The sequence below is a fragment of the Homo sapiens genome, chromosome 18 (assembly GCF_000001405.40).
Source record: "Homo sapiens chromosome 18, GRCh38.p14 Primary Assembly".
In the NCBI taxonomy this organism is placed as follows: domain Eukaryota; kingdom Metazoa; phylum Chordata; class Mammalia; order Primates; family Hominidae; genus Homo; species Homo sapiens.
Window position 1 is genome coordinate 46,842,359 of NC_000018.10, and position 14,428 is coordinate 46,856,786.

At 37.8% G+C, this 14,428-nt stretch overlaps 1 protein-coding gene and 1 pseudogene across 30 annotated transcripts in view; both read right to left on the reverse strand.

Annotated features, from left to right (window-relative positions):
• Positions 1-14,428, reverse strand: part of PIAS2 (protein inhibitor of activated STAT 2) — a 116,928-nt gene that overhangs the window by 39,141 nt on the left and 63,359 nt on the right. For all 30 annotated transcript variants that reach the window (NR_136684.2, NR_148702.2, NR_148700.2 and 27 more), the window contains 5 exons: positions 13,207-13,257; positions 12,987-13,077; positions 4,349-4,483; positions 2,376-2,481; positions 1,696-1,769 (listed from right to left, as the gene is read on the reverse strand). Coding sequence is in view for 23 of the 30 variants with exons in the window: in NM_004671.5 (NP_004662.2) it covers positions 1,696-1,769; positions 2,376-2,481; positions 4,349-4,483; positions 12,987-13,077; positions 13,207-13,257 (457 nt within the window). In the remaining 7 variants the exon portion in view is untranslated. The remainder of the gene's footprint in view (positions 1-1,695; positions 1,770-2,375; positions 2,482-4,348; positions 4,484-12,986; positions 13,078-13,206; positions 13,258-14,428) is intronic.
• LOC100421737 (ubiquitin specific peptidase 4 (proto-oncogene) pseudogene) lies at positions 9,220-12,430 on the reverse strand (annotated as a pseudogene).

Sequence of the window (14,428 nt, forward strand, 5' to 3'; positions counted from 1 at the left end):
TAGAATGGCAAACTGTATGAAGAAAAAAAATTTAAAAGATTCTAAGAAAATGGCACTGCACAACTGTAAAACTCCTTAGGTAAGTTGTGTAGACTTTCTTCCTGATACAATAGTTTGACATCTAAAACATAATGGTGACACGAGTTTCCTCCCCATATGGTGACTGTATGTGGAATAGAGCTGGCAATTAATGTTTGCTGAATATACTAGGGATACATAATAAAAAATCGTCAATATCCAACTGTTTTTTAACCAACAAAAAGGCAATTTCACTTGTTTCAATCTACTATCAATTTTGATTTTAACATGAGAGCGAAGAAAAGTATAATAACCTGAAGATACTGAAAAGAACTCATGCCTGAAGGTTTGCATAGAGCCTGCACTCAGAGGAAGTCGTGTGTCCTTCCGCATGCCTCCTAGAACCTCTGCCAACACCCTCAGGGCTTTCAGGTCTTACCCTACTGGAACTGCACACCTCTTCCCTGCGTTTGCTAAGAGCAGGTTCCCAGTATCCAAGCAATCCTCATATCAAAAAATTATATTTCAATAAAGGCAAATTCATGTTTTTAAGTTAATGAAGATTAAAAGAGTGACACTTCAAAAAAAGATCTGCAAATACCACTTTCCAGAATAAAAGAGATGTACTTGTAATCAGGACATGTATATTTCAGCCCAATCTGGCAGCATGGTATATTGGAAAAAGAACAGGAATATCAGAACACTACAATCTTTATCCTTGTTCTACCAATAACTGTGTAATTTGGGTTAGCCAACCTCATTCAGTCTCAGTTTCTTCATCTACAAAATGAAGACAACTCCTCCACACAGGTTTGCTAAGACAGTTAAATAAAAGAACATACAGTAGAGACTCAACAAATCATTCTCTTTTCTGACACAATTTCTCCCCATTTAAAAAACTGCACATTTCTCAAAATGGTGGGTAGTCATCAAATACCCACAAAACTACATTATAAATTCCTGATTCCATGACTTTTTCTCATTAAGTTCTTCTTAACCGGAAAGGGTTCCCCTCCAATTCATTCACTGCTCCTGACCCTCCCATCTCCTCTTGGTAGTAAAACAGCCTAACTGTAAGTGAAGTCTGCACCATTTTTATGGGAGTTGGTTTTATTTTTCAAACTCAATTATTAACATTCTAAGCAAGCCTCAATATTTTCTCCCACAATTAGCTCAGTGGCAAGTACACAGGAGGATGTGAGAGTTGCTGACTGATTTCTCCCTCATACTTTCTATGTAAGGAGATATAAAAGAAAAATTATTGTGCAATTTAAAAGAACATTACAAAGACATCCTACACATCCTAACTCACTAAACTAAGACCATCAATTAGCATTTATCAGGCCCTAGTCACTTTATTGCTATTTTTCAGTATCATTTATATTCTGATAAAAGGAGTCAGCTCTTAATATATTTTTATTACTAGCTGTATATTATCTACAACATTAATTACAACAGATTATTCTGAGCCTAAAGCTATCTTCCCTCTTCTTTGTATTCTTTGCATGCCCAAATAATACAAAGAATTGTGACTTAATCATGAAGATTCCTTAATGGGAAAAGACAAAAGTTCAGCATTCTTCATAATATATCATTCATTCCCACACTTACTTTTATAGGAAAGTTAATCATTTATAAAAAGTCAAATTCCCCAAAATGTTTTGTTGCTTTACTTACAGGGCACATCAAGGATACCCGAAGGCTAGTTGTAGCAATTTCACTATCAGGATCTGCAGTAAGTTTTTCTTTAACTTTAAAAAGAAGAGAAAAAAAAAAATTTAAAAAAATTAAGGGTGACAAAGAAATGGAATTATAGAAATATATAGCATCTTAAAACAAAATGTTACATATTAATGTATTGACAACACGATCACACTCCCAATATAAGTTAAAGAATTATGAACATGCAAATTTCTTTGTTTAAATTCTTAAAATTTCTTTTTAAAAGTAAAACTGCTGGCAAGCAAGACTTTCAAAATAGAAAGCTATGTAAGACTTAAGAACAAAACAACAATTAGGAGAGGAAGCTGGAATGCAGCAGTACCCTGAGCGTCAAAGCTTTTCCAACACACATTCATCACAGTTTTTATTATGCACTATTGTTTGTTTCCAACAATTATTAAATTTGTAAACAGAAAAGATAAAAATATTTATACTTCCTTTGATAATTAAAAACTACTATGTGGTAATGTGTCTACAATTTTACTCACCAGTAATGTATATAAATTAGTATATACACAAGCTAACAAATATATACTAATATATTGATGTGAGCAATATTTAAAGCATTAAAGTATCTCATATGCTCAATCTTTTTTTTTTTTTTTAAATGCTTGGTCTTATTAAACATTACTTACTTAGTGCTCTGGAATGATCAGGGTTTCTAATACCTTTCATTTTTAATCTCTGTAATAACATGGCTGATGTAAGCTGCCGTACAAGATATACAGACATAGAGTAATTCTACAAACAAACAAAAAAAACCTGCATTAAAGATGAGAGATAATATTCTCTTTGTTTACATGAAATACTTATTTAAGAAACTCTGGTTTCTAAAAATAACATTCAAAATAACTTCCATGGAATGGTCAATCACTGCGAAGGGGACAAAATTCACCAAGCTACTTCACTGAAAATAAAAGCTCAATCATTTTAAAGGTATTTCTTGATCATTTATCACTTTAAAACATTCGCTGGTATGGGAATATAGGTTAGATCAATGGTTTCCAAACTATGGTTCTTATTTAGCAAAACTGGTACCTTAGGGGCCACCCTGAAAATGTACCCTCCTATGACTAACCAGAATCTTGCTAACCAAAATCATTCTGCTTTTATCGACTTTATGTAATGAGGTTCTCATATTTTCACTTAAAAGAGGAATTCCACTGCAGAAACAAATTCCAAAGGCCAGTGGTCTGAATTAACACTGCAAATCCAGAGTTCCAAAGTTCTAATTCTGGCAGAAGAAACCACCTGCTACTACATGGCCTTTGAGTAAATCACGCAAATGAACCAGGTATCAGCTTTCTTCTGAGGAAAGCTTTGATAAATTAACTCCTGTACCCCAAATGGGTATTTTATTGACAAGCAGCAGCTACTATAGTATGTAAGACACATGAAGAATGATAAAAATTAAAAAGTCAAGCCAGAAAACAACAGCGTCCAATCCCATACCTGTTAGATCTGGCACAAAGGAACCTTCATTAGCTATTTATAGAGCTATGAACAGACAAAATATAATTTCACATAAATGTTAAAAAAAAAAAACCTATCTTCCCATTTTATTAAATATATTCATTCAATTGATTCTACAATAAACATCATACTTTTAATAGCTGCCAAACCAAGTATTTTAAATATTTTTTAATGTTCTTTTAGATATCTAAATACCCAACTTATGGTGTAAATTCTAGGTCAATTAATCATTTTAATTATAAGGAAGAGTATTATCCCCATTACATGGCAAAAGTTTTCAATGTCTACAATCATTTATTCCAATGTCTGTAAAGTTACTCCCAGCTCTGCAATTACCTTGGTGGTAAAACAAAAAATTCCTGCTATAAATAATGCCTCAATTTCTCCATCCATAAAACAGGAATATTATTCTGTTTAGGAACATGTAATAAGAACACTGAAACTGATGCTTCATGTAATATTAACACTGAAGCTGATGGTCAGAAATTAACTGAAATCTCCTTTCCATTCATTATTTCAGTTATATAAACAAGTAATTCTAAAATGTAAATTCCTTGTTGTATTAACTGGTATCTCAAAATTGACATAATTTATTATAAGACCAAAAATCAACAGAAAGTCAAGTTCATCAACTTGAAGGTATAGAGAAAATATTATAATTCTAAGTAAATATTTTTATACAAATGCTTACAGGTTATCTGAAATATCAGTTGTTTATAGAAAGGCTAGAACAGATTATTTCTAATCACAACATGTGTACATTTAACCATTTCTCCCCCAAACGGATAAAACTTTCTTTGTTCCTCTTCATAAATATTTATCATCCAAAGCTTCTAGTTTATTAAAATACTAAACACAAACATACATACAATTGTGGTTAAACCATTACCTTAAGAAATATAAATATGCATATTTCCTTTCCAGGAAAATAAAGAGATGATATTCAGGAAAGCTCAGAGTTAAAGTTTTTAACTTTAAGAATCTCCACACTGCCACCTCTAAACTGAAAATTACTGCTTTTTAGAGATTACAATCCAAAAACAGAAAGAGCTGAAGCCAACAGCTTAAGAAAAAACACAGAAAGTCAACCCTCAGTGGGGTCACTGTCCTGCTACCCAAAACGGAGAGCTTTTACCTTCCCAATTTCTGATGCCCAAGAAATGGAAATTTGGTTTGGCACAGCTGAAGATAACCTAACTAAAGATGTAATATTCAAGGGGCGTCCAGGGCGCTTCTGTTCAATCCCATTTTTAGGCGGTGGTGCATAGCCCTATAACCGTAAGAAAGAAAAATTATTTCAAATCATCTGCAGGAAGATTAAACATTTTCTCCAAGATAGATACAGGATCCTGCCCAATTTCAGTTACACTATTTTTATTTTAGCCTAAAAATCATATAGCCCTTATGATCATTATCAACCCAAAATAGGAAAATAACCTTTGAAAAAAGGTTACAAAATATTTCACAAGTCCAGAAAGGTAGGAAAAAAATCCATGTTCCAACATTAAAATTAAAGATGCTGACATCTTGCCACATTGGCTATGAATGGTTTTCCTTTTTCATAGGACACCAAGCTTTACAGATAAAGTCACAACTTTTTATAACGATTCATCCTTAGCAGTCCCCATTCAAAATACATGCACATATTGGAGGTGGGAAAGAAAAAAACCAAACTGGGAAGTGAGGGGAAAGAAAGAACAAACTAATGAATTTCATTTTTAAAATCTGGTGAGTGATAAAAATATTTTCCACTGCCTTTTCTCTGGGTGGAACAGAAATGGTAATCTTTTAAACCAGGTTAAGTTAACAAATAAGGATAATCAACATTTCAGTTGTCATTAAATGAGCCTGATGGCTATCAAAATACTGCTATTTATGCTTTAATCTACTTTTATGTAGTCATCAACCGTATTTTTTTTTTTTTTTTTGAGACGGAGTCTGGCTCTGTCGCCCAGGCTGGAGTACAGTGGCGCGAACTTGGCTCACTGCAAGCTCCGCCTCTCGGGTTCACGCCAGTCTCCTGTCTCAGCCTCCTGAGTAACTGGGACTACAGGCGCCTGCCACAACATCCGGCTAATTTTTTTGTATTTTTAGTAGAGACAGGGTTTCACCATGTTAGCCAGGATGGTCTTGATCTCCTGACCTCGTGATCAGCCTGCCTCGGCCTTCCAAAGTGCTGGGATTACAGGCGTGAGCCACAGTGCCCGGCCAACTGTTCGTTTTAAATAGCAAGTATACTCATTTCTGATTCGCAGTATATCCAATTCCCAATTACCGCAAGACTTCACTCTGATTTTTCAGAGCCAAAATAATATATTTTTTAGAAAATTAAAATGTCTTAGCTGCAAAAAATCTACATATTGAAAAGTAGATACCATATTTCACTGATGCTAGGATGTCAGTGATGTAATTTAATTATGTACTATTGAGAAAGAGAAAATACTATGTATATATGGCAAAGAAATGGAAGCAAAATGAATTAACATATTCCCTTTTGTACAGAAGAAACTTCTGAATCACTTTTCACTCAGTCATTAATGCATACATTTTTCCACATGACACTCTCCTATGTGCAAGCAGGAATTTTAGAGAGAAAAGTATCTTTTAAAACTGTATTTCATTCCACTAATGTCTCAGATTTCTCTGCAAGTCACTGACACCATTAACTGGATGTGTTAATGGGGATACAATCTGGATCTTATGAGAATCCATCAATGAAAAGTTTTCAGACAACAGCCAGGATTCATGCTTCTTTCTCAAAATGTCCTTAAATTATTTATTAACTGAAAAGCCAGGGAGTACAGCTAACCAGTCACGCCATGCCAATAACATCAAAGTTGCACAGGTGCAGGCAATGATAATACGTCACAGCTGACACCTGGTCACCAGCAATTTTAAGACACTTCTGGATTTCGGCAATGCTAAAATATGCACCTTAGGACCAATGAAAACTAGTACTGGTAGTATCACAAGCAAAGAGGAACACACCCTGTCTACCACAACTTGGGAACACCCTTCACTGTCTCATAAGAGGCAAGACAGTAATTATTAAATGGTAGTCCACATGATAATGTGTAATCTATAACTTGCAACAAAATTCTGAAAATCATTAAAAACGTTTGAGCAGGGGAATAAAAGACAAAGAGAAGAACTTCAATAACTTGCATTATAATATGGAAATGAAAGAGAGAGACAGTGTGTGTGTGTGTGTGTGTGTGAGAGAGAGAGAGTAGGAAGGTTATGCCCATCTTAAGTTGCTCAAGTGAAAAAAAAAAAAAGTTGCTCAGAAAAAAAAAAACAACTCCTAAGAAAAGTCCTCTCATAAAGACTCAAGGAGCTGATTCAATGAGCATCAAGCACAAGGAGTATCAACACCAGTATCTAGGTAATTTTGAACAAAACTTTTGTTTTGCCTGTTTTGGGCCTGGAAGATAATTCTGTCTGCTGGTATGTCCACTGGTAGGTTAACCAAATAAAAATAATGTTACAGGGTCTGTCAGAAGGATAGAAATAACTCATGAACTAAAATGTGCACTCTGGAAATTAGAATTTAAGACATAACACTGTCTGACACAGTAGAAAAGGGCAACAGAAGCAGGGAGAGTAACACTCATGTAAGAATGAAGTGTCAGCAAACTCAGAATCATTTTAGTCTCACTCAGCATAAAGTGTTTTCAATCTATTCTGTATCCCATTTGAGTAGTGTGACTTTACTGGTAATTCTGAGTTATCTGATAACTTGTATTCTACCTGTAACCATCAGCACCACCCCTACCCAACCATCAATTTCCTGGTTATTGATAATATATTAATAGTTGGAATTTTATAAAATATAAAGTTTAGCCTTCACACATATTTCTAACAATTTTCCATATTTAAAGCAAAAATAAAGTCAAGTTCATGTGACAGGGAACCAGTGGGGCAAATATGCGAGCTTTCTAAGCAAAGGCCACTGGACAGCACCAGCGGAACACTTTGTGGTAGTACTGTGACACACTCAAAGAATTTTTTATGTTTCATGCTCTGATGACACCCTACCCTACTTGCAACTGTGACAAAAGTTGTCCACAATTATTGTACTTTAACATTTTCCTCCAAATTTTCTAATTACCACTACTACTTGAATACTTCTAACAAAGATTTACTTTTTAACTTTAAATTACGGAAATTTCAAACATACACAAGAAAGGAACAAATAGCAGGGACCCACCAACCAGGTTCAATAATTATCAACATGTTGCCATTCTTGTTTCAAATGCTTTTGGCCCCAAAGCCAGTCTGCCCTAAAACACACACACCACAAAAATACACATTTCTTTTTGTCCTTATTTAAACTCAAATTCTAGACATGCCATTTAACCCAGATATTTAACATGCATCTCTAATAAGACTTTAAAAACCCACAGCATTACAACCCCACAAAAATAATCACAATTTTAAAAAATCACCTAACACCTTGTCTTTCGATTCAGATCTCCCAGGTGCCTCAAAATTTCTTTTCCTGTTATCCTTTTATTGTTGAAAATTTTAAACATATACAAAAATAGAGAAAAAAGTATAATATGTATATATCTACCAGTTCAGTAATGTACTTACCCATGAACAATCTTTACCTACTCTACCCAACTCCCACTCTAGATTATTTTAAAGCAAATCTCAGATACATTTTCTATTTTCTCCAGATGTAGTTTAGTATAGATGTCCTTTTACAGCTTGAATCAGAATTCAAAACTAGAGCCCCACACCGCACTTAGTTAGGTCTCTGAAGTCTCCTTTATTCTATAAACATAACCCCTGCCATCTCCAAACACACACACTTTTTCCCCAATGCTGTTGTTCTACTGGAGAAACCAGGACTTTTGACCTGAAGAATGACTTCGCATTCTAGATTAGGTATATTGCTTCCTCGAAGTATAAGGTTTGTTGCTCTACCTCCCATATATTTTTAAAGCCAGTCATTAGTTGTATAAGCTTGATTAAACTTGGGGTAAAAATTTTAGAAACAAAAAACTTCACAGAAAATGTTGCATACTTCATATGGTGCTACATCATAAGGCACAGAAGGTGGTTTGCCCTGTTTTCAGTGGTGTCAAGATTGATCAGGAGTTCAGGGGATGTCAGCCTGATTCCTCTACCATGAAGTTCCCCGTCAAGCTTCGGCATCCATTGATGATAGCTACCTAGACCCATTATATGATTATGAATTGTGGAATAATGATTTTCTAATTCTATTACCCTTTTGATTGTATTAGCCGAAATGTTTCCATAAAGAGCTTGACCACATCAACAGCTGGTCACCTTGAAATAAATGATTCTCTTCCTTCATCAATCTTCGGAGCAGCAGTGAGTTAGTGCAACCTCCAGTGGCTTTAGTATAATTATTATAAGCACACTTACATATTTGATAGTTTTGAGTCTACTATAATCATTATTCTTTCAGATGTCAAAATTATCCCTTCTCAGGTAAGGAGGTGCCTCTTCAAATTGGGGTGAGTGTGCACACAATTATGTGTTTTAAAAGAAGAAATGTTGAGTTTATGTCAGTCCTGATTTACTATGAGACAGGCCATCAGGGTAACTAACACACAACATCAGGGAACATAAATCCATGAACTCAGAAATACAATTTATAAGGAGAAGGGGGCCAGTACTGCTAAGTCTTCTGGCTGCACCAAAGGAACTACTTGGAGATTGCTGCCAGCTGAATTACAGCACATATCCTCTCTACTCTTTGGGATCTTTAAAAGAAATATTCTTGTCAACCCTTCTTCCTTTCTTCAACCTTAGAGCTACACAAGATTTATAGATATTTCTCACAAATTGTTTAGAAGAAAAATAATCCAGCTTCTTAAAATAACTCCCTAAACAAAGAGGGCCTTTTTCTTTCTTCTGCCCATTAAAAACATGGAATGTTCTCATCTGGCTGTCAGTCTGTACACTGGCAGCCCTTGGAGTCAAAGATGGGAGATGGTCTCTGCAGCAGGTTCTTGTCTGTCCACACTGCATGTCACCATCCCACAAGCCCTACTATGAGCTGCTGTCTTCCTTGCACCAAGGGAACCTGGAAAATGAATGCATGAAGGTGTTTTGTAAAACTCAGCATCTTGATGTAGGTTAAAAAGCACATATGCTGCTTGCATCACTATTTGATCCTTAACAGTCTAGGGACACGTTGCCATTTTCAAAGTAATACCATTTCCCATTCCTATGTTTACTTTGTACATGAAGTATAGTGGTCAACTGCCATGGGTCCATAAAGACTGGGTATTACAGTAAGATCATACACATAAGGACTTCTTCCAGGACACAGACAAATGCCACCATATTCAGAGCTCTAATGGGCAATTCATGACTGTGTCAAGCTTTTCCCTCCAGGATTCATGGTTCAATACACCAGGATCACGGGCAAGGACCACCTATCAAATTTCTTTTGTGGCTTGTTGATGCTTCTTAAAACTGGAACAAAGTCCCTGAGGCTCTCCATGGTGGCAAGAGCTCACTATAACTCCTATAGGGCCACAGCAGCTTTCTTCTTCTGAGGCTGCAGCATACTCACGTAATTCTTAAAAACTGCAGAATCTTGTTTTATATTTAAAAAGACTCCACATTTCATTATCCCAATCAATAGCAACTGTGGATCAAGTGGTGGTTTAAGATGTTTTCCATCAGATGCGCATGTGAATTTCTGTCAGCTGTTCTATAGGACTTTACGGAGCTAGGGTAAAAAGACTCTTTGGGAAAGGCAGGCATTTGATTTTCTTTGGGATGGCCCTATAAGGGTCAGGCAAATCCTCCCCATTGCCTTCTATTTTTGAAAATATGTCTTTGCCTTTCTCTCAATGCTCTATTTCTTCTCCTCCTTCACAACTGCCCATGGAGCTGCTGCAGGCCCCTGGCTCCAGGGATGCCAGACTCATCAGACAAAGGCTGCTTTATGTAGTAGTCAATATGTTCACAAATAGTCTAATACAAGTAATCAGGGGTTAGTGGGTGCTTTGGGACAGAAATCAGCAGTAACTAAGTAACAATGCCCCAGAGGAAGTACTCAACTGCCTAAATTCTTCTCCCTCAAAAGAACTGGAAGAGTAACAAACTCCAAGCCATCCTCAGTGGTACTGTAGACCTCCTACAGGAAGGTATCATCCCAAAATGTGACACTGACTGGTCCATTTGGAAATTCTGGTAACGTCTATGTTTACACATCTGTAGCCACCATATTTTCCATAGCAATGCCACAGAGTTTAGGCACAACCTCACACATTTCAGATGCAGCTCCCATCACTGGCACAGTCACACGATGATACAGGATAAGCCTTCAAGGTGAGTCCACAGACACCAAGAAGCCCTCCATAGTCTTATCTTTCATCACAGATAATGGGAGGGGCAAATAGCAATGAGAGTCAAAGGTCAAAGAAATCTTAGCAGCCAGACGCAGTGGCTCACACCTGTAATCCCAACACCTTGGGAGGCCAACATAGGTGGATCACTTGAGCCCAGGAGTTCAAGACCAGCCTGGGCAACACGGCGAAGCCCTGTCTCTACAAAAAATACAAAAATGAGCCAGCCATAGCGGTGCATGCCTGTAGTCCCAGCTACTAAGGAGAGTGAGATGGGAGAATCGCTTGAGCCTCTAGGAGGCTAAGACTGCAGAGTGAGCCGAGACTACACTAATGCACTCCAGCCTGGGCAACAGACCTGAGAGCCTTTTTTTTTTTTTAAATAAAAAAAAAAAGGAAAAAATGAAATCTTAGCACATCTAGGGCAAAGAAAAATGGTTATGAAAAGGCCATGGGACAGGTGCACAGGGTTGTGTATTAATCTGTTTTGCCAGGCTTTCTTTGTCACACATGCAGTTACCCATTGGTATCTTTCAGCTCCAAGTAGGGCTGCTTCTTCCCTTGGTTCAGATCTTTGTGCAAACTAGCCAAATAAAAGATAGGCCAGGCGTGGTGGCTCACGCCTGTAATCCCAGCACTTTGGGAGGCCAAGGCAGGTGGATCACGAGGTCAGGAGTTCGAGACCAGCCTGCCCACATGGTGAAACCCTGTCCCTACTAAAATTACAAAAACCAGCCAGGTGTGGTGGCAGGCACCTGTAATCCCAGCTACTCAGAAGGCTGAGGCTGGAGAACTGCCTGAACCCAGGAGGCAGAGGTTGCAGTGAGCCGAGATCACACCACTGCACTCCAGCCTGGGTGACACAGCAAGACTCTATCTTGGGTGGGGATGGGAGGGGAGTGGGAAAAAAAGGATAGCTCCTGAGAATCTTGTTGCTAGTAGCCGGAAACCTGACAAACTAAATGTCCCACCCGGGGAAACATGTATGGGCCATGTAAGCAATCCCCCCTGACCATACCTACTCAGCCTCTGCAATTCCCCTTCACTCCCAGGACTGTCTCAATGGATTTCAGTCTCAGATGCATCTTTCAAAAAGAGTCACGTCAGTGATGCAGTGTTGCTCAAGCCCTTTAAAGGTTCACAAAACAAGTATTTCTCAGGTCTCTAAGTCCACAGGCTGTGTATGCGACAAATGAGACTCCTGACAACCAAGAGAAGTCAGATCCCTCTGTCCACAAGACCAGGGTCAGTCTCAGTCATGGAATTTCTTCACTTTGGGGCCCAATTCTTAGCACTTGGCTCTGGAGAGCCCAGAGTCCTAGATCATATTGTCTGACTTGCTTGGCTACTCGTGAGTACTGCTCATATATTAGTCCAGAGCCCAGTCTCGTGTTCAGCAGGGATATTACACAGCTTCCCCATTTCCTCAATAGTTGCGAAGAGTGTCAGCTCTGGTGAAATGACAACTGGGCCTAGTCAGGGAGTCACTGCTCTCTTAGTGATTCAGTTACAGTAAATACACCTCCAACTTTGTAGTGCTTGACAAACGTGCCATGTTGTACTATTTTTTTGATTATGGCTTTGCTGGCCTTCTTACAGAATGGTACCAATTTAGTAATGTATCCAAAATGGAAACCAATACATAGTCCAGTTCTACATTTATTATTTTATTTTATTAAGACTTGACTATCAGGATTTGAAGAGTCAAAAGCCATCTATTAGGCCAGAGACAGGCTGCATGCATTTACATTGTATACATCCTAGGTGCTGAAGCCCATATACTCTCTCACTGCTTAAATGTGTTGTCAACCAACTATTATTGCACCCACCCACCACAAGTGAATGCATCATCAAGGCCCAAGCTGGGAATTTTTGATCTCTGTAGTTAGCCACTCTCAGCAGCCTCTGCTTTTCCCCATGCCATCCACAGGCCAGGCCCAGCTAATGCAGACATCCCACACATGCTGTCCTATACATGAAAGTGCCCAAGTCCTCCCCTTCAACTATGCTGTTTGATATGATCCCAAGAGTGTTTCACAGCATCCTTGATTTCTTAAGTAAGATGCTCCAGGCTCTAGCCAGGTACAGTGGTGCACAACTGTATTCCCCACTACTCAGGAGGCTGAGGTAGGAGGATTGCTTGAGCCTATAAATTCAAATCAAGCCTGGGGAACACAGTAGGACCTTGTCTCTTTAAAAAAAAAAAAAAAAAAAAAAAAAAAATTCCAGGCTTATGTTTTCCATCTCCTTCAGACCTGAAATAAGCCATTTATTATTTATCCAAGAAGCCATGGGTTACCCTAGTGGAAAATAGTATTTAATCTGGATGCTAAAACTGTTCACTGGTATTCAGCTGTCACTGTTGCACTGTTTCTAGGCCTTGTCAGTGTTTATATTAAACTTATATGCAAATCTGGTGAATAAAAAGCAACTTACAGGCAAAGGAAATAGCTTCCCATTTACTTTTATACATAGACTATTTGGATAGTTATCTTCTTGAGGGCAACTTGTCTCTGCCAGGCAAAGTCTGCATTAATAAAAGAAAAAAGTATTCTTAAATAGTGTGCTCAAACATTCTTATATGTTTTAAAATTCAGAACTACATGCACATAGTAAGCAAGTATAAAACTAAGGTAACAGAAAATTTCAAACTCACCTCAACTGAACTTGGACTGTATAATCTCTCCTACCACCTGGCAAAAAATCCCTGTTGGAAAGAGAAAGAAAATGGGTTAAAAAAGTACAATGAGAATTCTCAGAACAGTCTCCCCAGGAGGAAAAAAAGGAAAAGCATTATTTGTATTTTTCTTATTCCCTGAAAGGTGATCAATATACTACCAATAATATAAGCCTTAATGAAATCACTGTAATGATGATAAACCTGACTTGCTTAACTTCTAGCCACGTCTTTATGGCAATTTTAAGGTACCTTCAATGCACAGGAACTTTGATGATGCAAAATTTATTTCAATAGACATCAAACTTGGTAACATGCAAGGAAGCAGCCTAAGTTCGGAAAGAGTTTTAATCAGCAAATCTATTTGCTTAGAGCATTCTAATCACTTGAAGACTTTTTTCTTTTTCTTTTGTTTTTTTTTTTTTTTTTTTTTTTTTTGAGACAGAGTCTTGCCCTGTCGCCCAGGCTGGAGTGCAGTGGCGCGATCTTGGCTCACTGCAAGCTCCGCCTCCCGGGTTCACGCCATTCTCCTGCCTCAGCCTCCCGAGTAGCTGGGACTACAGGCGCCCGCCACCACGCCCGGCTAATTTTATTTTTATCAGAGATAGGGTTTCACCGTGTTAGCCAGGATGGTCTTGATCTCCTGACCTCGTGATCCGTCCGCCTTGGCCTCCCAAAGTGTCTCATTACAGGCATGAGACACTGCACCTGGCCAAAGACTTTTCTTTTACTATAAAGACCTATTCACTGGATATTCTTATTGATCTCAAGTACAGCCTAAGCATTAGTTTTTATAGCTACTAGGGGGATTCTAATATAGACCCAGGATAAAGAATTAGTGCCTAGAGTCTCAGCATCTCCATACCATGCAACTTCATAATTATGTATCCAATTAAAGATACAGAACCTCTTATAATTTCTAGATGAGAATCTAATGGTCCCATGTAAAATATATTTCATACTGAACCCTCCAAACTCTTGCCACGCAACATGGAGTCTACGGGGAAGCAGCACTTATTCCTTAGGAGCTTGTTGGAAATGCAGACTCTCAGGCCCCATCCTAGACCTATAGAATTAGAATCTGCATGTTAACAAGATCCTCAGGTGACATGTATACACATTACAGTTTTAAAAAGTATTGCCCTTAGCCATTGTCATAAATCTTGGACTCTGTCAGAGAGAAGATCACTAGAGTGTAGTC